At 33.5% G+C, this 26,024-nt stretch overlaps 1 long non-coding RNA gene across 1 annotated transcript; it reads right to left on the bottom strand.

The window, feature by feature from the left end:
• LINC00358 (long intergenic non-protein coding RNA 358) lies at positions 1-26,024 on the bottom strand. Its single transcript, NR_046995.1, has 2 exons — positions 25,735-26,024; positions 1-986 (listed from the first exon to the last, which is right to left on the bottom strand). It is a non-coding gene; the product is annotated as a long intergenic non-protein coding RNA 358 (long non-coding RNA).

A 26,024-nucleotide genomic window follows, 5' to 3' on the forward strand; every position in this document is an offset into this window, starting at 1 on the left:
TACAATATGAACTCATTTTATTGTTTAAATTATTTTACTATGCCAAAGTTATATTAAGATTTAAAACTCCTCTAATTTAGTATTGCAGCTTAGTCACTATGATCAATTCTCTCAAAGATAACAACAAAAAAAGGATGGATGAAAACTGCATGTTAAAACGGATCAAAGAGTTAATGATATAACAAGGGATTACTGAAAATCTACAAAAAAAATGCATTTCCAGCTTAGAATAAAGAAAAGTAAGCCTGGTATTTAAAATTGCTTTAGTCTAAAGATCAAAGAAAGTGGTAAATATGTGGATAAATCTGAGAAAATTTAACTTTATTATAGAGTATTATCAATATCATGGAGTCTTGGAATTACACAGCAAAGTAATCCATGCATTTGAATAGAACTAATCCTAAGAGAGGTTAATATTCTAAGATATTTGTAATGTTCAGGAGATGGGTAAACATATCTGTTAATATTAAGCTTGATGGAATGCAGAAAACTATTGTATATGTTTCTATTAGTGACTAATGAAAACAGTGTAAAACTTTTAAACTACTTGAGAGAAAAAAGAAATTATAATACATATTATATCCAAAAGAGTGTGGATTATCTTTTATCCCAGCTCTGGCTGTGACTCCCAAACTGGGTCATCCTCCAGGAAAATGGTCTCTCCAACCAACTGGGATCTGTAACTCCAATTCAGTCCTCATCTTTGTGGGTTGCCCCTTTCATCCTGTTCAGGCTCTGACTTGCTGAACTGAGCTGCCCCTTTAATGGACCCACTGTTCACCTGGCTCAAGCTCCAATCCTCCAGGCTGGAGAGCCATAACCCTCCACCACTGCATGTGAATATCCATCTCCTCCTGTTTGTAGTTCGACACCCACACAAGCTCAGCATTTTGTGAAGATCATCTCTTAACACTTCTTGGTCTCTAATATCCCACAAATGTCCGTTGGAATGGGAAGGCTGCCTCCACTGGACAACGTAGGCTGTCCTGTGAAACATCAAGTAAGGAATATGAAGATTTCACAATTTTTGTGAAGTTGAAAATAAATTATTCCCCAAATTAAGGAAGAATAGAATAAAATACGTAATCAGAGCCCCTTACTATCTGAAAGTATTCTTTTTAAACCTCTGCATGGCATTTGGGACTAGAGTCACGCTTTATTTTTACTGTCTAAAGAAAGCAATAGGCTAAGATACTATCAGTTTGGTTTTAGTTCATTGACCTTTTGAGGTGTGTAATTTACCCTATTTTTTCTAACTAATCATTTTGAGTTATATCAAGTTCATAGATAATTATTCATTTTAATGTTTCCCCTTTTCTTTCTCTGCTACTTTATCTTTCTCTCCCTTATTCTTTCTTACTCCTTTTCTCTCTTTTTTCCCTTCTTTATTTCCTCTGTTTGCCTATCAATTTTAGATTATTTGTTTGTGTTGCATTTAATACAGCTTTGTAAGCCACATTAAAATGTTTCTGGAAGATGATCAACTTTAAGTAAATAGATGAATTAAATAAATAACAGCATAAAGTATGATTTACATTGGAATCCATTTGGTTTCCTGTTTATACACTATATTAAAATTTTACATCAAAATTATATGGCAGTAAGAGGAAAATACCAAAGAGAAAAAAAAAATAAAGTTTGTAAATACATTTGAGAAGCATAAATAAAATAGAAATAAAAAACTGCGAATAGTTAAAGCCACCAGCCTATTGAACTCTATGCCTGGAGACCAATAGAGAGAACCACATCATGTTTTAATTACTACAGAATTAGGAAAGGTAGTCACGTAAAGGATTAGTTGCTTGAAAACAATGACTGGTGTAATCTGCTTGCTCCTAATATAAGGCTAAATATTACATTGTTGATTGCCTCCTTGGGATATAACTTAGATTTAAATGAAGTGATGTGAGAGATTTGAACACAGATTACACACACACACACACACACACACACATGCACACACACAAACACACATTATGAATGTTTATGTCCCCACCTCCCAATTTGTATGTTCAAATTCTACCACATTAGAATGAGGACATAGGGCCTTTGGAGGGATGATTAGATTATGAGGTCAGGGCCCTCAAGAACTGGATTAATATCCTTATAGGAGATCCAAAAGACATCCCTTTTGCCTTCTGCCATGTGAGAACATAACAAGAGAGCACATTTATTTTCTTATACCAGTCCAAAAGGACTAAAATATGTGGAATAATATGTACCTGTGTGTGTTCATTTGTGTTTGTGTATGTTCGTATAGTTCTCAAATCAAGAACTGACATATCCTACTGGCTTTTTGGCAGAATCCAAGATATCTTCACTATCACTCTGGGGCAAGGTATCTGAGTTCATCATACAAGCTTTAGTTCTAGACTGAAGGCCTCAGAGAACTGAGGGGAGACAACTATAAAACCAAAGATAAGCCATCCCACTCAAAATGATACTGCACACCAAAATTCTAAATTAGATATGTTAGAAAAATTATTCAACTCTCCCAAGGCAGCCATCACAAATAAACAACTAGATAATTAACAAATAACTTTAAAGAGTAATATCATAAAATAATTTAAGATACTTAAGTAAAAATATATTGAGATTACCCACAGAAGTAAATAGCAAGAAATAATGGAGCAAAATCACACAGAAATGAAAGAAATGAGGGCATAAAAACATAAATCATAGAATGAAGAACATAGTCATTGAATTAATAATATAATGAAACAAGTATATAATATTAATCCTTAACCAAACGAATTCTTATCTATATCAAAAGCAATCAATCTGGAAATTTAATATATTGAGATTAATATTCTTATTAATAACAAACATTATAGAGTTTATGGAAATAAATTGTGCAAATGTGCAAAACTTTTAGGAAGAAAATGATAAAGCAGCATTAAAAGATAAAAATCCATTAATAAATGGAAACAATATCACAATGAATTAGAAAACCCAACTTCATGAAGACAGGAATTTTACATGTGTTAATGGGTAAATTCAGTGATACTCCATTCAAAAATTTAATAGTTTTCCTTGTTTGTTCATAAAAATTGTCTAACATACTAAAATCCATAAGAAATATTAAATGGGACTTCTATTTCAACCTAAGATTCACTAACAGTGAGTTACGTTCCTTAATGAAACAAACAAAAAAAAATACCAAAACACTTTAACAGCAGATTTCAACACACTGAGCAGCACAAGGAAAGTGATTGTAAGAGATGAAAAGCAAATGAGGTTACACCTCTGATTGTCTAAGCTCCCTTCCTTTAGAGAGTTTCCAGGCCTTGGCACAGAAAGAAGGAATACAGGCAGAGCCGAAGAGACTTCCTAATTTTGAGGAGAGAGCTGAAAGGTCACTGACACCAAGGTGACAACAGTGGTTCACAAATCAGAGTAATAACGAGGAGGTAACATCCAGCAGAAATATGCATAGGGTTCCTCCTGAATAGTCAGCTGAATATTGATCAGTACATATGTGTGAGAAAAACACATGAGGCCAGGGAAAGATCTGCATTAAACAATTAGTGGCAATAATACCAGTGTCCTGAACTCACGGGGCATCTTTTCATTAGCCAGTTTGGAAAACTTCATGATTCACAGGGCACTGAGTGAGTACACAGAAGGGTGCAGTCTCAGTAGTGGGAAATAATTACCCCTAAACTGAGCGCTTCTCGGGTCCTACCTGACAAATCTTACAACTATCAGGTCAATTATCCCTCCAGGATGGTAAAGAAACTAAGAAACCTAAGGTAGCCTCATTTTGGAGGGCTAACCATAGCCACCTGTAAGTTAAATAATGGCATGATGGGTTGTTGTGTTTCCTTAACACTAAAGGTCTCTTATACACTAAGGTACAAGTGGCTATGTTTTCAGAAAAAGGATTTATTTTTATTTTTATTTTTTTACAAATATTAACAAAATCTTTTTTTAATTTTTTATATATATATATTATTATTATTATACTTTAAGTTTTAGGGTACATGTGCACAATGTGCAGGTTAGTTACATAAGTATACATGTGCCATGCTGGTGTGCTGCACCCATTAACTCATCATTTAGCATTAGGTATATCTCCTAATGCTATCCCTCCCCCCTCCCCCCACCCCACAACAGTCCCCAGAGTGTGATGTTCCCCTTCCTGTGTCCATGTGTTCTCATTGTTCAATTCGATGTTTTAATGACTGGCTTAAAATAAGTAATACAACCCAGTGGTCTGATATCCCCAGAAAGAAAAAGTGTTCATTGAAATTATTGGGACTCCCCTGTCCCCACACGCATACAAGGGAAATACATCAGTTAGTAGGTACAGGTTGACAGTGTGTCTAGTATGGTCTCCCAGCCACTTGGTAGGCCATAAGTTTCACAGTCCACTTTGAATAATCAAGTCAAGTTTTGTTTTTCAAGAACTGTCTAAGGGCAATAAGTTCAATCTGTCTTCTTGTCCTTGACATCAGCCAGGCAACAATCATCTATTACGTAGAATGACAAGTGACAGTAACAAGAATGGAGACGGAGAAAACATCCATAGTAGTTGACAGGTGTTTTGTATGAGAAGTGCAGGATCTGGGGACATCTCCTGTTGTTTCTGATAGATGAGAGTCATCTGGCCGACATGACATTTTCAAGATTGAGTCCAATTTAAAGGTCTTGCAATGGTGTGAAGACCTGAACCAGGGTGTCTTCCTTAATGAGAAAGGATTCAGAGGTGGCTTCAAAAGAGAAACACCACTAATGCCTCTCCCAGTCCCAGATGTCCTGTGTTCTAAGGTGATTCTTCTCTAGGGTACTTGAGTTGTTGCTCTCCCTCCACCACTACAAAAATCATGGTGTACCACTACAGTAGCTATACATTTTTCTTTTGCCCAGTAATCTTCTTCTCATACATAGATCTTTCTTCTGGAACATCAGATGTAAGAGGGACCAGGTAATTTTATATAACTTATAAAATCTCATTACATCTCTTACTTTGACTAAGTCTAAGGGGGACTGAGCAAGGAGTGTATTCAACAAATGGTAACTATCACTGTGGTTAGTTACCATGTAACCATAGTGGTTAGGACCATGTAAATCCAATAAGAAAATGCAAGTGATTGAAACAGATAAATTTGAATCACTTAAGTCATCATTTTTTTAAGAGTTTATTTTTAGAGTAGTTTTAGGCTCATAGCAAAGTCCAGAGAAAGATACAGAGATTTCTTTTATATCTCCTCCCCCAAGACTTGCATAGCCATCCCCATTATCAATATTCCCCATAAGAGCAGGTACATGTGTTATAATTGACAAACCTACATTGAACATCATAATCACCCAAAGCTCATTATATCCATTCTTGATATTTTATGTCCTACGAGTTTGTATAAATGTATAAAGACATGTATCACTGGGTGCAGTGGCTCACGCCTGTAATCCCAGCACTCTGGGAGGCCAAAGCGGGAGGATCACCTGAGGTCGGGAGTTCGAGACCAGCCTGACCAACATGGAGAAACCCCATCTCTACTAAAAATATAAAAAATTAGCCAGGCATGGTGGCACATGCCTATAATCCCAGTTACTCTGGAGGCTGAGGCAGGAGAATCGCTGTAACCCAGGAGGCAGAGGTTGCAGTGAGCCAAGATCGTGCCACTGCACTCCAGCCTAGGCAACAAGAGCAAAAGTCCATCTCAAAGAAACAAACAAACAAACAAAACAAACAAACAAGCAAACATGTATCTACTATTATAGTACTATACAGAGAAGTTTTCACTGCCATAAAAATTCTTTGTTTTTTGCTTACTTATCATTTCCCCCTACACAACTCCTGGCAACCGCTTGTTACTGTCTATATTTTGCCTTTTTTCAGAATGTCATACAGTTGGGATCATGCAATATATAGCCTTTTCAGATTAGCCCTAGGCCTTCTTTTAACTGTGTGACATTGTTAGGGCAGGACACGTTGATACCTGAAAGTTTTACTAACCACTTCAGACTTGGTTGCCATAGGTGAAAGAAGAAAATATAATGTCCAGGAGCAGTCAGGATGGAATTCCAAATTTCCAAAAAAGCCTATGTATTACCTATACCTTTATCTTCATCATTATCTAGACTGAGAGGAGATAATCACTTTCTGAAGGTAACACATTTAGAGACCAAATTGCCTTAGTAGGGTCAAAGAAGTCAACAAGATAGTCAGAATATTTGAATGCATTTTTAGGAGACCATTCAAGTGCTCAACAATACCAGTTATAAATGAATGGTGGAAATGTGGAAGTCCCATTAAATAACTTGACATGAGCATTCAGTGGCTTTTGAGATAAAAGGTGCACCACTGTTAGTTGGGAAATGACCTGAAAAGCTGGAATTATGATAAACAATAGTTTCAAGAGTTAATGTGATGCAGCCAAAATCAGCTGATCACCCTGCAGCAGCAGCAGCATCATAACCTGATAACCTGAGAAAGTATCATCACTGGTACCTCTCAGACAGGGCTCAAAAATCATATGCAGTCAATCTTCCAGTAACAGGTGGAACAATGACATCCCAATTAGGTCAACTTTTGTCAAATGTCTATATATATATATATATATATATATATATATATATATATATATGGCAAGCAGTGGTATATATATATGTGTATATATATATATCAAGGTAATTTATATAACTTATAAAATCTCTTGTCAATCTTTTTTATATAGTTTTTATAGATTGGCTTTTTATATATATTTGCTCTCTCTCTCTCTATATATATATAGCAAGCAGTTATAGTTGTACCCTCTGCATTGGAAATGCAGATTTACTTAGAGCCCAATCTGTGTGGACAATGTGTTTCCATGCCTGGTATGATGACGTATATAGGCAGAAATGTTGGGAACTTGGGTGTTATTTAATCAGCAATTTGTTTTCATTCAGCATCTTCAGAGAATGTTCCCTTACAGTTGTCACCTAAATGTGTAGCCCAGATGGTTTGTTCAAAGACTGCAATTTGTTCTATAGTAAGTGGTCCTACAGATGTGTCTTAAATCTACCAGCCTATAGTTTTCTGCATGCCAGATAAAGAGCCAGACCATTAGCAAAGACCCAAGGGTCAGTAGAAGGATAACAAATTTCATTAAGTATTGGGCAGAGCTATGAAAATGACCTTGAGGGAGACAACCATATCAATTTTTGGTTTGTCTTTGAGGATCAACAGCAATAGCAACCTCATGGACACCATCACGTTTCAGATTATGTAAATAATTGTTGAACCAGGCATGGAATTTAGTGGAATCTCTGTTAATTGAGAGTCCAGGTGATTCAACAGCTTTACATTAGGTAGCACAGTCAAGAGTAAATTTTCCTCTAAAGTGACAGCTCCTAAATTTTCATGCAAAGGTGAGATAATCTGTTGTCTGTATTCTTGAATATTTATACCCATTTAACAAGTAAGTCTTGTTGGATACTGCTTGACTTGCTAACTCTTGGGTTTAAGTTGATCCACCTCCAAATGACAGTATCATGTCAGAGAGTCACAGACCTCCATGTGTCAGAAGTTGAGTTTCAACAGGAACAAAATAGCAAGCTAACAGATTATTCTAAAAATTAGTACAATTAGTAACAACAAATGTATGGAAGACTAGCTCAAAACAAAAGGCGTTCCTCTAAACAGAAGCTGTTTCTCTTTGCCAGAAGCCCCAAATATCAGAATCATCATTCATAGAGACATGTGGTTCAAAGAAGTTACAAGTGTTGTGGTGCCCCAAATATAGAGTATATTACAGCTTGCTGGACAGTTTCTATTGGGTTATGTCTACTGATTTGGATGCTAACCAAAAAATTTAATGTGTGAGTTAGCTTAAGGACTAAGGAACAAGTAGAATACCCAAGTGAGGCACAAGCCTTTTCCAATAATAAAGAGCATAGTAGGTGGGAAGCTATTTTTATGTGGAGGGCAGCTGAGAAGTTGTTTCCTGACTGCCAGAGGAATTAATCACTGTGAATACACTGACATATTTCCAAGAAAGTTTACTTGCCAATCAGTGCTCTAACTTTTGTCAGGTTTTATCATTCCAACCTTCTGGAGGAGGTGTGATAGCGCCAAGGTCAGGGGCATTGAATCCGAGTCATTGCCATCCAACAGAACATTATCTGCATAGTCGAAGCTTTGACATCAGAAGGTAGAGGCACTCACACTAAATCTTGGCACACTCAAGGCTGGCTGGAAAGTTTAGATGGTCCTGTAGGAGTACTACAAAAATACATTGGAGCCTTTGTGACATGCATGTTAATGGATCTTGATCCTGATATTTCTGAGTACAATGGAACAGCCAGAGCCGTAGGAGCAACAACTTAATCCATTGCAAGCTTCCTATATCACTGGGAACAGAGGGCATATTGAGATATTGCATCTCATACTACTTTCTACTGCCTTTAAATCTTTAATTAAGCTAGTGATTTCTCCTTTCTCCTCCTGGCATTCTAAACTGATTATGTTGAATCCCCCAGGAGATTATAGGGAGGCATATTGGCTAGCCATGTATTTGTCTCATTAGCACTTCTATACATGTGGCTTTTTCTGATTGAGAGAATGCTCTCTGGCACTATGGGACGGGAGGCACAAGCATATGACATATTCATTTCCAGTAAACTTTATTATATAAAATCAATAATAATAAAATGAATTTACCCAAAGGACCCTGCCCACGGGGTCTTATTAGCTTTCTTACCTCACTGTGAATCCTGCCCAAACACTGATAGTTGAATAAGTGTACCTTTGTCTTCCACAGTTATGGGTAGGATGGCAAGTTTGGGTCTCATATCCAACAGAACTATAATTATTTAAATCTCTTCGTTCAAAATTCTGAAGCATAGTCAGATGGATACATATGGACTTTGATTCTCTTGATGTTAGTGTCTGCTTAGCCCAATCTTTATATCTTTCACCTTTTATCTTTCATCCCCACCTTATATCTTTCACTATAAAGTCCCAGCATTCTGGATATAAGGGAAATGATTGATAAGGGCACACAGAGGGAGTGAAGTCTCCAGTGAAAAGGGCTTTGCATTTACTTTGTGTACTGAGGGCATAGTAACAACTATGGCCTAACCAAATAAATGTTCCCATGTTTTCATCCAATGTTCCATATTAGACAGTGAGAATTTCATTGCTAAGACCATTTTAGCCTTTGGTATCCCTTGTCTCTTCTCCAGAAGAAGCCACTTATTCTACTTCCCAAGGCTGCTCAGTATGCAAACGTCTATGAAAAGATAGTTCAGAATAAAATCACTGCCTCGGTTTGCAAGATATGTAGTAATGTAAGTGATCCAACATGAATTCTCTTTCAGCAGTTGTAATAGCATAATTTTTTGATGTTTTTCTTCTTGTTTTCAGAAATAAAGTAAGAATTAAAACCATATTTAACTCTTTTTATGTTAAACAATTCTCAGCCAAACATGTATACCTGTCCCTGTCTAAATAATAATTTGATAAAGTATACTTAGCTGTGTTTGTACTAACCAACATTGGAATTAAGTAAAAATTGTTTTCATTCTGCAAAATAATTTCTTCTTAAGACTCGACTGTGAATCAACTAAAATAATTTCATTATCAAGACTTATACATGGCTCAACCATCAATACACACACATATCAAACAAGTGCCTCCCTATGCCCATCAATGCAAAATTATTAGATAATAAGCTACATTGAATCCTAAATAGATCCCCATATGGGAAAACCCTTCTTAAATTTATACAGACCAGAGCTAAAATTCATCTGAAACACTGTTTCCTCCTTGAAAGACATGATAGGCTCTGTCAAGGTGGTGTTGTTTTATGGCAGTAATATAATAAAGTTTGCTTTGTTTGATCAACAGGAAGAATGCTCAAGCTATAAATGAGAACAAAATAATTTTATATGGTTAACCTTTGCTATTAATGATTTTGAAACTTGATATTAATTGTCCTTAATGCATCATCACTTGACAAGACAATCTAACAGCATAAGTAGAGAGATATAAATATTCCATATTTGAACAAAGCAACCCTAAGAGTAATTGGACTAATACTGAAAACAGACACATTTCATTTCCAATATGAAATGCACTAATATTTTCTAAGGTAGAATAGTATTAATAGATTTAGATTTTAATTTATCTTGAGTACTGAAATGTACCTGAGCACATTACTAGTGCTCAAGTCCCCTCACGTCCTAGATAGTTATAATACAACTTGCAACTGGGATTCTCGCACTTTCTACCTGGCAAATTTGAATACAATTTTAGTGTGATTTGAGTTTTGCCATTGCTTATTTTTGCAAATCACATATATTTTAGAAAATTAAATATCTAAATAGTTAACCCCCCCAAATGTTGACACCTAAAATTTGTGTTATTTTCAACAAATATTTTAAGCATATATATGTATGCAATTTTATTCCTAGTAAACAAAGAATTTATGTGTTGTTTTCATGTTATCACTAAACAAAATGATTTTATTACATGAGTTTATAAAAAGTGTTGTATAGCAGTTCATTTTTACTTCACTCAAGTAACAAATATTTTAGCTCACAGCACACTTTTTAATTCTTCAAATTTCTACCAGCAAATTGAATAATATTGATCATAAAAAGTATAATTTATGCTATTAGAGTAAAATTGTATATATTGTGGAATAAAATTAAAATAAATTGCTTTGTAAAATCATCTCTTAATTTACCTTTTTATGTTATCGGCATTAATATAAAGAAACACAAGAAAAATAAGCATAACCACAAAATCTATTTTTAAACTTATCTTTGTTTTTTTTTTAATTTTTGAAATGTAAGCTTTTCAACAGTTCTTTAATAAACCCTGGGGATTCTAGGATGTACTTTTTGTTGGATATAACTGAGGCCCTTAATTAGTCCTAATATTATTCCAGTATTGTATTTTGTTTTGTCTTCAACGATCACTGTACAAGAAAAAATAAAAATTTTACCACTTGGTGGTGCTGGTGGATAATATAAAAACCAAACTATTCCTGGAGCATATGTTGAGAGAGCTGGTTACGGTGATTAAATAAAATTAAGGGAAGGACAGCTTCATTCACCTCTGTCATTCCCTAGTTTTCATTTCTCCTTTTGACATAAAGAGTGTAAATTAGACACAATGGTTGCTACCGATGGCTTGGGTCCTTGCTAAGTAGCAAAGAGAAACAAGATCTTTAACACAAATTTCATGGCATTGGAGACTGACGATGAGGCTATTATTTTCATTTTTAAATTATCTCTGCCTCAGTGTAAAAGATTACTTCAATTACACACATTATTTTTATTCTCTCAAAAAAACAAGTTTTTGTATGACCGTTCATGTTTTTACATGGCATGATGACCACTGAATTGTAACATTCTGTTCTTGGTGGAAATGCAAGTATTTTAACATGTAATTGATGTGTTTATACCAAAATTAATAGTAAATGCATCTACAAACATGAGTAACTGTTCAATTATATTTGATGTCACAATATTTTCAGATACTGATAAACAAATAGCTCAATGACATACATTATGTATAATAATTGTTAAAACTTTCCTTCAGAAGTATATTGCTCTCTCAAAAGAAAGCTCGCCTAAAGTGGTCACAGTTTTTCATATTTACTTGGCAGTGTTTTTTACTTAGCTCAGCTTCAGGTTTCCAATTTTAAAAATGTATAAATTATACAATTTTTATGAAGTATCCACCTACATATTTCTTCAGCCACATAAACACAAGAGATTATGTCACTGATATATATATATGTATATTTTATATATTATTTATTAACCGGGGGAAAGTCCATGAATTTCTTATGCCCAGAGTTAACATAGACTGTAGTGCTCTACAGGGGGTGTGATATGGCAAAATTATATGGGAAAGATTTTTAATGATAAAATGAAAGTTTTCAGTGTTTGCTTCAGTTCAAAGAAAATAACCCAGCCAATACATATTCTTTGTCACATTGGTAAGCAGATACATTATTAACATCTTTGACATGGAAGAAAGGCAGCCTAAGGGCCCCAAATTCTGCTTCTATACAGGTAAAAAAATAAGCATTTAATTCTTCTCCTGAACAACAACTGTTTTAAAGATAAGGCAAAGGATGACCCCAAATCCTATTTGTAACTGTACAAGCCCATTCAATCCCAGGGGTCATGTACTGCTTGATTTGAGTTTCCATTAATGCTTTTGATTATTTTAAATACATTTGGTAACAATGAAGGTGGTTAGTGAAAAACCGACCCACTTTGAAATGCATGCAATGATCATTATGAGAACCCGCAGTCTAAAAATTCACTGATAGAACTAAAACTCCATCATTCACCTTCTCTAATATAAAACATAATTACAGTGTGTGGGGTATGTTCATTAGCAGGATCTACTCAGAATCAATTAAAGAAAATTCTACTAGGCTGCCTAGTATAAGAATTTTTATCACAAATCTGTTACCATTAACTATGTTTTAGACCTACTGTACCTTAGGTTTGTTTTCCCAGTAATAAACTTTTGGATTGTTATTCTTATTCTTTGCAGATACAGCAAAAATAATTTCTTTATTTGATAAATTACTGATAGTTAGCTTTTTTATCCAGGTCAATTTTTGACTCTCCACTTCTTCTTCTTCTTAATTATTTTAAGGATAATAAACTAATTAAATAAACAAAACATAACAGATAACATGAAACAATTGAAAACTACTCCAACAGAAGAAGCTGGACATCATTTCTCCCACCTATTGCATACATGCTGTATCATTTTATTTGCCAGAGAGGATAGAAATACTGAATTGATTACATGTCAAAGAAAGTCTAATGCAATCATAGTTCAACCATTTACAATTTGGTCCATCACTTCAATTCTGGAATGCCATTTCTCACTTATAAAATGGCAAGATTTGGCTATCAAGAGCCAAAAATATGATTAGTCTGAACTGAAATGTATGTAAGTTTGAAATATAAAACAGATTTCAAAGAATTAGTATAGAAACAAGAATGTAAAGTACTTCATTAATAGTCATCATATATTGATTCCATGTTAAAAAGATAATATTTTGGATATTTTTGATTAAATGAAACATAATTAAGCCATTTTAATTTATTTCCTTTTGATGTTTTATATGACTATTTTAAAGTTTAAAATTACATTGGTTTACAATTTTGGCTTGCATTAGCTTTCTATGGGATAGTTCTAGGACATAAACTTTAAAAGATTTTTTTGGTTGTTTTTTTTGTTCATGACAGAACAATAGATCTCAATTTTTACCAGTTATTTTGAACATGATATACTTGCTATTTCAGAATAGTCTTTTCAGTTAGTTAGGAGGAATGTGTTCTGATATTCTGTTGCACAACAAGGTAGCTATAATTAATGTCAATATGTTGTATATTTCAAATTAGCTAAAAGGGGATTTTAAATGTTCTCATAAAAATACATAGGACATATTTGAGGTGATAGATATGCTTACTCTGATTTCATCATTTCACAATGTATATATGTATCAAAACATCACATTGTACTCCATAAACATATATAATTATTATTTGTCAATTAAAAATAAAATACAATTTAAAAATATTTATTCATGTTTAATTTATTATTTTTATGGTGGTGTGTTTTCTTAATAAAATTTTTTTTTAAGATTTCAGAACTGTATTATTATTTGTACACTCAAGGTTGACAATCCAACCAGGGTCAGTCTCTCAAAGAAAAAGAAAAAACATTCTTACCTGTGAGTTGATCTTTTTGCTAAAGGACATAATTTTGAGGGTAATTTTGGCAACTGTGAGAGAGGAAGGACACCTACTTGTTCAGTGAAAGCAGCCATCTCAAACCTACTTCTTAATTATCCAAAATCCTTACATGTCGTACTCTTTTCAGTCATGAAAATTAAATTGAGATGCTAATTGTACCATATTCTATCACAGTATTGCAAATTATGTAGTTTAGGCTTAAAAACATACCTAAGTTTTAAGAGATATCCTTTTATAGCTCATTTTGTGTGTGTGTGTGTGTGTGTGTGTGTGTGTATAGATTGATTGATTGATAGATAAAGATAAAAACACTTTCTCAAACATTCAATTTCTTTGTTAGCTTGCATCATTTTCAGAAACATAATCTATTCAACCTGCAGTAAAAGTTATTCTCTCTCTTATAAAAGTATGGTTTTATTTGTTAATGTATGTATTCTTTTAAAATATAATGCCAACTTCCTGCTCTCTGCAAGGCATTGAACGGTCTATGTACAGCACTGGAAAATAAAATAAAACCCACAAGATGGGAAACTATTTTCTTAATGGTAATTGTTTCAGATGATGAGTTTTGGTGCACCAAAGCCCAATTACATTTCTGTTTCTTCTTAAGTAAACAAAAACTACTGAAGAATGCTGATATTAAAAAAATCATTAAGAAACTCTGTAGTTTTCCAATTGAACTCTTTACTATAGAGCCATACTGGTTTATTTGCATATTTTATAATGAAAAAGAAGAATGACAACCAAAAAGAAAGAATTATTTTAATCATGATACAAAACTGAAATACTAGAACATTGTAAATAAACTATTTTTTGAAATATAAGTAAAAATCATATATAGTAAATATATCAAAAGGCATTTCAAAAACATGAATACTAGTTATTATCAATGCATATTATAAATCATTATTTTTCTTTACTTAGTTTTATAATATTAAAGTTCAATAAGGGAGTACAAGTGGAAAATTTACTATATAATATTGAATAATTATTACTGATTTTAGACTCAACTTTTCTGCCTTGTCTTACTTTTTAATAGAGAAGAATTGCTTATGGAGTGAATGAATATACATTTTTGTTTAAATACTATAAATTTAGTGAAAATATATGATGTACTATAATGTGTTTGATATGAGAGGTTCTCAGTGACATCTTAAGCACCATCCCATTAAGAGACCAATTATTATTATTATCATTATTATTGCTTGGTGGTGGTTTTTCATATTCTTTAGTGTAAATTTTTGCAGCACAGAAGTTAAATCATGTTGCTACAGGTATGGTGCATTTAATTGGTGGATTTATCATTCAATATGTGAAAAGGTAATCCATAATTTAACTATAATATTTGAATAACTCTTTATTTATATATTATTTTTTAAATGTCCTGATTAATAAATTTTTACTTTTCTTTGTTTCTTAAAGCAATTCCGATGGGAGTGTTTTTTTACCATGATGTGTAATGGTGAATGAAGAGAAGCATTTATAATCAACACTAATTTCATAGACATAATAATTTCTTTTTGCTTCTCACTGCAAAATTTATATAGTAAAATCTAGTTATGCTAAAAATATCTGGCTAGCTCTCTTTTAATGCTTAAAAGAAAATATAATCAAAATCAACAGGAAGTTACAAATCTAAAATGACCCATTATGTATTAGAAAATATATTTTCTTTCACACATAAAAGGTATCTTTCTTGGCATTGTCCTAAAGCAACTGAGTAGTTTGGAGCCAGAAACAAATTGAATCTGTAACCAATGCAGGCACGTACAATATATGTGACCTTGAACAAGTCTCATTATTGTTAGTGTTCTTTAGGATTTTTAAAGCAACCAAATAATACAACTTTGAAAAGCAAATGTTTTGATATTGTTTTTGCTTTAAAAAGAAATATATATATATTCTTTTTATATATATTTATTCTCTCTCTTACAAAAGAATACTCTCTTTCTCTCTCTCTCTCTCTACCTCTCTCTCTATATATATATATTCATATTAATTCACAATGCGGTAATATCATTCAGGTCTTTCTTACTTGGGCCATATTGTCCTTCTCCTTAGCAGTAATGTTGCCCTAGAATTTTGATGTATACAATTCCTGAAGTCTCTCTCTCTCTCTGTATATATATAATATATAATATATAATATATATAATATATATAATTTTATATATAATGTATATTATATATAATATATGTAATTATATGTAATATATAATTATATAATATAAATTATATATAATATAGAATATATATTCCTGATATATATTCCTGATATATAATATATATAATGTATAATATATAATATATATTCCTGAAGTCTCTCTCTATATATAATTATATATATAAATTATATATATAATATATATTATATATAATATAAATTATATGTAATATATAATTTATATTATATATAATATATAATATATAATTTATATTATATATTATATATAATAATATATAATATGTATAATTATATATATAATTATAAATATATAATAATATATAATATAATATATTATATATAGAGAGACTTCAGGAATATATATTATATATAATTATATATTATATTATATAATTATATATAATATAATATATAATATATAATATTACATATACACAGAGAGAGAGTGGATTTGGAGTACAATGAGCTTATTTATATTGACTGCTTAGTTGCTATTGATATTATAGAATAAGAATATCCAATATAAAGTACAGAGCAAACAGTCTTCCAGATAATGGAAGAATAGCTAATGATCATTATGGAAAACTATCTAAAGCTATTATTTAATGGTTTTAGACTTCAGGAATTGTATACATCAAAATTCTAGGGCAACATTACTGCTAAGGAGAAGGACAATATGGCCCAAGTAAGGAAGATCTGAATGATATTACAGCATTGTGAATGAATATGAATGGGTGAGTTAGTGTTAAAGATGATGCTACCTGCAAGTAGCATCTTGTTCTTCTCTGTGAGGAAAAGCATCTCTGAATACCTGAAATTTTGACTTAGCATTTGCAAAATATCTCTTTTTAATTGGATCACAGTTTTGTTGTTTGTAATTATAATCTTAATGGAAGCTTTTTGATTAATTCTCTTAGTTTCAAGTCCTTATTGTGGCCTCCAAATGAGCTGGCCCCTAGCTGTTTCTCCAACATTCCCAACTATATCCCCTTTCACTGTTCCTTATCCTCAGCAAACTAACACAGGAACAGAAAACCAAACACTGCATGTTCTCACTCATACGTGGGAGCTCAACAATAGACCCCATGGACACAGGGAGGGGAACCCCGCAAACCAGGGTTGGGGGACTGGAAGTGAGGAGAGGGAGAGCATCAGGACAAATAGTTAATGCATGCCGGGCTTAAAACCTAGGTGACAGGTCGTTATGTGCCACAAACCACGGTGGCACACGTAATCCTTATGTAACAAACCTTCACATTCTGCACATGTAAACCAGACCTTAAAGTTAAAAAAAAAAATGTGAATTACAGTTTTGCTTTATAGCATTTGAGGGTGTTTTGTACCTACAAATTTTCTTTTCCCCAAATATTTACATGGTTTCTTTCTTCACCTCTTTGTTCAACCTTCAGCAAAAGACAAAAGCCTTTACTAATTGTTTTATCTAGAATAGCATGGCCTTCCTCTACACAACCTCTTCTCTTAATTTTTACGTATCTATAACTACCTTTCAGTAAGTTACACATTTGCATTAGGGAGTGTAATGAACTCCAGCTTCTGTAACAATCTACACCGCTCCCCTACCCGCAAAAAAAAAAAAAAAAAAAAATCCTGGTTAAGTCCAGTAAAAGTAGATTTCTTGCTGACATTACACTTCTGACTCTTGTTAGAGGGTTCTGCTCCAAGCAGTGACTGTTGGCTCATAAATCCTTCAATTCTGTGCCCTGCCATTGCCATTTTTTAGAGCATCCTCAGCAGTAAGCCAGTAAATTAGTGAGGAGAGAGAGAGAGAGAGAGAGAGAGAGAGAGAGAGAGAGAAACAATGCAGGGCTTGTCATGGCTAGGTTTAGGAGTGGCATATATCAATTCTTTCCATTAGCCAAAATCCAGTCCCATTGTAACTCCCATTGTAACTGAAAGGAAGGCTGGAAAATGTAAGTCTCTATGCTGTGTACTCAGAACAGGGAAATGAAATTTGTGACCCTTTAACAAAGGTCGACCATAACATTTATTTGTCCAAGTGTTTATGTCTCTTGAGTTACTCATATATCTTGAGGGCAGAAACATTATTTGGTTTGTTTCCTGCTCTATTCCCATTATCTAAAACAGAGCTTTGCACATGGCAACTGCTCAATAAATATTTGTTAAATGAAAAAATAAATGCTGTCTTTTATTTTTCTCCAGACTGGCCTACAGGCTGATAACATACACTAGAGCCACAAGAATCTGCTAATATTCAATATTTCTGTGCTAACTGGCACTGATAAGTATAGTTGAAAGATAGCCGGTCTGTTTCACCCTTATGGTGAGCTCAGGTTTTTAATATGATTCATTTGGTAACATATTTGCATCAAGCTGTTTCATATGTGAAGTAACCTGACTTCCCCTAAATATTTAAATAAAACAATAGAATATTTAATTACATATAAAATTATATTACAAAATACAGTTTAAAATTTTGGTTGGAGTTTTAAACAGGAAAGTAGGCTAAATATTGCATTTAATTCATCAAAATACTGGATAATTTTTATAACATCTGCAAAGAACTTAACACTATAACTGTTCTTGATTTCTGTAGCAATATAAGAAAGCTAGTGTCTTAATTACTATATTTTACAGAAAATAAATATGGGGCTCAGAATGTCACTTCTGTAAGATCACAAATAAGTTTTAAACTGGTCATGAACAATTCGGTTTTAAACTGATGCTTATTCCACTGGACTAATACACACAAGCATTTATGAATAAAGCTCTCAGAATCTCCACAGCAATTTGCTCAGAAAAATTATCAGAGTTATTGATTTTTAGGTGCATTCTTTGATACCATTGACCACAGTTTTGTAATCTATTTGCTCTAAAAAAGCATTAATTCAAAGCTCACATGGACCCTTTTGTCTGATGGGATGAGACCTTCATGGTGGTTTATCTACCAGAAATAAGAATCAGCCAGAAAATGGAGAAGGGGAAGAAATGTTCAACTCTACAGAGGAAGATGTAAGCTCCAAAATGTGGTTTTCAAAATTTGGGTTTAATCACTTTGTATAGTTTGGTGACCTTCTGCTCTATGAGAACAGCAGTCTCAGAAGGCATACTCACCAAAGAGTGGTTTGGCAAGAATGTTCATTCATGTTAAATTAGAGTTCATGTTCAAGGCAAGCAATCAAATGCAAATTTTACTGTCCATGAAGGATGTAGAAGTTCACAAAATGAACTGTAGCTCAGGGTGGGTTACAGACACAATAGGAAATTAGATCAAATTGCAAACAAAATCCTAATATTGTAGATGAAAACAAAAATAAAATAAAGAACGGAGTACAGGTGGGATACTGCAGCATATGCCATAATGGGGCCTCTGTAAACTTGATGCTAGCACTTCAGATTACATGGCTAGGCTGCAGAATATTTTCAAGCCTTACCTGTCAGCAAGGATACAAATCTAAATACTTAGAATTTCTTGGTGCTTATTTGTCCAGGTCCTGGGCAAGGCTAAAGCCATGAGCTAATGGCTTCTGGATATCTGCTTTAGGGCAGGGAAGTTCTGAGGAAATCAGAACTAGAGGGATGACCAATGGCAATTTTAAACATCCTAAGAGGGTGTGCTACTGGAAGGCAGGAAGATTGATAAAATTCTATAGTATTATTTTTTAGAATTTGTTTGTTCCATATTTTCAACTCCTTCGTATGTATTTTGAAGAGAGAAATATTATGATGACATATAGAAAATAAATGTTGAAAGTACATGGAACTGTTTCTTTGTTGAGAGTATGTTTGCATAACAGCTATAAAATATTAAACAATGGAAAAGTCTTTCAATTAAGAACTTTTTTTTCTATGTCATATGCCCAGAATTTTTAAATTTCAAAGTCTTATTTGATAATAATTTAAATTTGCTTTAATACAAACTATAGTAAGATATTTATGTTTATGAATTGCCATATTGCAATTTTGTTGTAGACAGAATAAAATAAAAAACTGATAGGTCCATGCTTATTTCCTTTTTCTAAGGCAAAAGTAGATTTTAGTCATTTTGGTTTTGCATTCTTTGTTTTTTTAAATGATGTACTAGAGAAATTTTGTCACTGTCTTGGCTATTATTTGGGAACTGCCTGGGTAACCTTGGCTATGAATCAAAATTTTTGAAGCTGGATACAGTGGCTCACTCCTGTAGTTTCAGTTATTTAGGAGGCAGAGACAGGAGGATGGCTTGTGCCCAGGAGTTTGAGGCTGCAATGAGCTATGATCTTGCCACTGCACTCCAGCCTGGGATACAGAGAAAGACTCCATGTCTTAAAAATAATTGGAAATTTTTCATTCTTAAAAAAAATAATAATAATTGGAAATTTAATGGTTTAAATGAGTTTGATATGTAAACATTTTGGATATTAATATTTGCTAATTTTATGTGTTATACCATCTTCCAGGGTGTGTTTGCTTACAATTTCTTTATGACATTGCCTATTGTATAAAACCATACATTTTTTGTATCCTAATTGATCTAGTTTAACTCTTCCTTAATTACTTATAATACCTCTGCTGCCCTTTATCAAGTTTTCTATATATGGTTGGTCTAATTTAAAATGTAGTTTCTGTTGCATTGACTGATGTTTCTACCCCTCAGCAATACTGAACCATCTTCATTTTTATAATTTTATTGTATATTTCTGCTAGGAAAAGTCTTAACACTTTGGGAGATTAATCTAGGAGATGGGAGACTGTATTATCTCATTGTGTATTCCAGTCCATGAACGATAAGACTGCCTTTTATATCTTTTTATTATTTCGGAACCATCTCCTAAGAAGCTTTGTATGCCTTTTGTTAGGTTTATTCTTAGCTGTTATTGATTTTGTTATCCATTTTGAATGGGATCATTGTCTGTAATCAAAGAGCAATATTTATTTTATTTGATAATTTTTATCTAACAAATATGATTAATATTCTTATTAACTTAAATTGCTTATATATGGGAGTTTCAGGATTTTCTATGTAGTCAATCAAGTCAATTAAAATTAAATGTTTTTATTCATTTTTATGAATTATTGTGATTTTTACATTGTTTTTGATTTTATTGCATAGCCCAGGGCCTCTAATGAAAGTTTGAATATGCATGGTGAAAAGGGCTATTTTCTTCCTATTTTAATTTCAGTTCACTTCGATGCTAAATATACTGTTTATTTTCAATTTATGTCATTTCTTAAGTTAAAGATATTTTATTTCTTTTTCCTACATTCTCCTTAAATCACAAATTAATGTTGACATGTGTTAACTATTTTTAAGCATCTACTTGTGAGGATCATAGTTTTTCACTTTCCAATTAATTGCTCAATATAACATATTTAATTGGTTTTCAGACTGGACCCCTTAAAAATGTTCAAAAACTTTCCAGGGACTGTACAGGCTTGAACGATTTTAAGAGAATCAATTTAAATTGTGTTTTTTCTTAATATAGATGTGTCTGAAAATAGGCACACATTCCCCTTTCCCAATTGTTCTTCTTGCACGTAACCAAAGGAAATCTTAATTTTAATCTTTCTGGAATATAATGAGTTGACACTGGTTATAAAATACCCTAGAACAGAAAATTAGGGGGAAAATTAAACATACTTGTGTCATTTAGTCAAGGTGCCCTTAAGCCAAGAAAGACATTATGTCATTCCTCATCCTATGCATGTTTTGCTTAAGGGTGGGTAATGTGATATAGGAATGTGACATTCTGAATCCAGAAATGGTGTAACAATGTGGGAGAGATGACCACCTTCATTTAATAACCTCATCTATTTACCTCCACTATTATTCTAAAAGAATGCTTCACTGCTAATGGAGAATCCAACAAGAGAAAAGTCCTTAAATAAAAATGAGTGCTATTTAAGTGGCATTTATTTTGTTCAGGTTAAATATTTATGGCAAGCCTTTCTACCGTATCTGTCTTTTAGAGATTATATTATGGTTTCCTACCTTTTACCCCTTTCTTGGAAAATGAATGAACATCCAATGCCTTTGTCATATGGCATTGCTTTGGCTTCCATTAGAGTCACCTGAGTATTTATTGCTGGTCGCTTCACTTGGGGTTTAGCCTTCTTAGACCAATGGAATATGAAAGAAAGAAAAGTGGCAGTATAAGTGTTTCAGGCTTATGTTTTAAGAAACATCAAAAGCTTCTACTGAACTTTTTGAATGCTCACCTTCCACCATGAGAAAAACACATTGCAAAAGTGATACTGCTTCTTAAGTCTGGGTCCCAGAAGGAGAACAGGTAGAGCAGACGTAAATGGCCTAAGGCCTAGCCTACGTTCAAATAAAAACCAAGAAGGCGAACCTGAAAACACTCAACACTGAAAGAGTGAGGGCTGAACAATCATGTTATCTGTGTTACACAAGACAGATATCTAAGATAGTGAGGAAAATTAACAACTAAAATACTTGTATTCACATGTGTATTTGTGTGATGTTTAGTAACTATGAAAAACCCTCCTTTTAATCATTGTGAATAGTGAACACTGTTCTATGTAAAATTAGGAATTACTTTTTTTGCACTTGCTATTCTCTTTGCTCTGTGAGTCAAAACAGGGCAGGCAGCTCTAGATTTTCCCATGAACACACATAGGAACACTTGAAAAAATATAACACAACATAAACCCACAAGGCATGTAGAGTTATTTTATGTGAATAAATGTGGATAAATGTATTATGTTCCATTATTCTTTTAAAGAATAAACTCATCTTCAGTGTTATTATAAACTGTGCCTAAATTTAAGGGACAAAAATCATAACATAGTGAATTCCTAAATGAAGATCTATTCAGTGACAGGGAGAACCATCACACTGTGAAGAATAACAAGATTTTAAAAAAAGGCTTATGTGAAAGCTAATATTTCTCTGCAAAGGACTTGGCTGAAATGGAACACTGAGGATTATATTTAGATACTGGTATTCTTGCACTCAGAGGATGCACAGGAGAAAATAGAAATGATTGAGACTGATGTATGTGTTATAAATTCTAGTTCCGGAATTATAAATATCCAAGGAACAACCTGGATCATATGGAAGGATAAATTTAGGGCAATCAAATATTGCTTCAGGTTTTCATTAAAATTTATTATATACATACAATACAGGAAACCTTACAAACTGTATGAGAACTCACAAAAGAATTAAAGCAGCAGGGCATATGTATACTAAATGCTTTTGTCAACATTTATTTTTTTGAGAACTACAATCCAGGATGCATATTTCTCTAGGTTCATAGATATCCATTGAACATATTTTGTTGTCAAGGAGATTATCACAGAACCTCTTTTACAACTTTGTCTAGCAACGTCTTCAACAGAAATGAGAGAAAAAAAGATTAATTGTTTAAAGATCCAATAGCTACTAATGCTATTTTGGAACTATGTATATATTCAGAATCATACTGGTCATTGCACTGGTCAAAACAAAGCAGTTATTAATTAAGGTAATTAAATAACATTATTGGGTTGGGGGGAAACTAGGAAAAACAGAATTGTAGGCCACAACCCTCAATTATTTAGAAATATCCCTGGGGAGAGAAAAAACAAAATGGTTGGTCACAAAGAAAAGCAAGGTAGCATTTGATAATTTATGATTGTACCTAAAATATCAGTATAAGAAATGGTGGAAAATCAGATAATGCATGGCTTAGATACAAATCTTCCTTAACTTCCTCTTCTCCTCAGCTCACACTCAAAACTAATGATTATCGAAGGCCTGAGAAGGAAATATCTCAGATCACAGGAGAGAATAGAGGGGTCTGCGACCCTCTATCAAAAAAGAGTATAAATCTGGCCAGGCGCCGTGGCTCAGGCTTGTAATCCCAGCATTTTGGGAGGCCGAGGTGGATGGATCACTTGAGGACAGAAGTTCGAGAGCAGCCTGGCCTACATGGTGAAAGCCCTTCTCTGCTAAAAATACAAAACTTAGCCAGCCATGGTGGCACACGCCTGTAATCCCAGCTACTCAAGAGTCTGAGGCATGAGAATCACTTGAACCCGGGAGGTGGAGGTTGCAGTGAGCAGAGATCACACCACTGCACTCCAGCCTGGGTGACAGAGTTAGACTCCTTCTCAAAAAAAAACAAAAACAAAATCATAAGTTCATTTTTCACTTATGAAGTTTGTGAGCAAAAGAGATAAGATTTCATGGGTCAAATTATTTTATAAGGATCCAGATGATGAAGGGGGCACAATGTTTGTTCTAGTCTTCCATTTAGATCAGGGTAAGATAAGAAAATGATAAAGAAAGTAGTGAGTAAGCATAAATGTATGTTTGTCAAAATCATGTTTACTGATGATTTTGATAAATACTCACCTTAAAAAACAACAAAAGAAACAGTGTGCTATTTATTTTCTGAAGGTACTGGAAAGTCAACAGTAACTTGGTATTTCTAGTGTTCTCTGGGACTTTGAAAGGACAAAGAAATAGTTCAGGTCTAATAAGAAGTTGCCAAGAAAATTCATGGCTTCGTAATCATGAATTAATAAAATAAAGATATAAAGAAGACATATGTGATAAAAACCAACATGGTTATAGCAACCATGCTGTAATAGATCACAATAGATGGTTGGTGAAGAAGAGGAGGCTGTCTTTGAATAGAAACACTTAGCAAATAAATGTACATGACTAAAACAAAACATTATGTAAAGGTTAAGCCAAATGTGACTCAAACTTTACAAAATTTTAAGGAAAAATTAATGATTTTAACTATATCCAGAATATATATCTTGACTAGAATAATCTTTAAACCATAAGATAAAGAACAGAAATATTTATGAGACATGAAAGTCCTGTGTCAGGCTGGGCGCTGTGGCTCACGCCTGTAATCCCAGCACTTTGGGAGGCTGAGGCAGGCAGATCACCTGACATGAGGTATTTGAGATCAGCCTGGCCAAACACCTCACTGCAGGCAAAACTCTGTCTCTACCAAAAAAAAAAATACAAAAATCAGCCAGGCGTGGTGGTGAGCACCTGTAGTCCCAGCTACTAGGAAGGCTGAGGCAGGAGAATCACTTGAACCTAGGAGGTGGAGGTTGCAATGAGCCAAGATTGCGCCACTTTGCCTGGGTGACAAAGCAAGACTCAGAGAAAAAAAAGAAGGAAGGACAGAAAGTAGGGAGAGAGAGAGGGAGGGAGGGACGGAGGGAGGGAGGGAGGGAGGAAGGAAGGAAGGAAGTCCTATGTCAGTAAAGAGTTATTCAAATGAAATCAGTTTCTGACAAATATTATCTAAAAACAATAAAAACAAAGGGAGAAAGAGAATCCTTACTTCAAAAAATGTAACCTCCAAAACTTAAGAACTCAAGACAAATTAGAAAAGTGCAGGTAGGGAATATTTTTCTCAACAAGATCATAGTGAGCAGTCAGTAAACTTTTGTGAATGATTATAAGAATCACTGCAATACATCGGCAGAAATGGAATGAGAATGGAAAGCAAGGAGCAGGTACATATGAAAGATATTGTAGGGGTATGGGTACAATTATCAAAATCTGTTCATCGCCCAAATGTCATAGCATTAAAGACTAAGAATTCAACACTTATGTTTCAAGCCTTGATAAGTAGAAACAGTACATATACCTATAAACTAGAATATATTAGAAAACCTGAAGGAGGGTTACTTTAATTTGTGCTCGTGTAAGTTGATTATCATTGTTGTTAAATGCACTGAATTTGCAAAGCTGTAGCTATAATTAGGTACATTATTCATTTTCTTATGAAGCCTTTATATAACATTTACGGAGAACATATTATGTACGAAGAACCCATGTGTATATCAGAGTAGAGAAAATACTGAAGCTATGAGAGTTTAAACACTTACCAAAGGTCACAGGGTTAGCAAGGGTAGAATCAAAACACCTGCCTATTTGACTCTAAATCCCATGTTCTTTTCTTTAACCTAAACATATTTGGAAAATAAAGTAAAAAATAACAAAATGAGAGCAAAATGTCTACTTATTCATTGTTTCATTTCTAAATCCTAAGCTTTTGTCCTGGCAGTCATAGAGTTAACTCAGTTTTTCAAGCAGTTATGTTTTCTGAGCCTTCAAAGCTGTAGGTGGAATTAGATTCAGTCAGATGTGGGTTTGAAGCTAGACTCCCTATTAACTA

This window comes from Homo sapiens, chromosome 13, assembly GCF_000001405.40.
Source record: "Homo sapiens chromosome 13, GRCh38.p14 Primary Assembly".
Classification (NCBI taxonomy): Eukaryota; Metazoa; Chordata; class Mammalia; order Primates; family Hominidae; genus Homo; species Homo sapiens.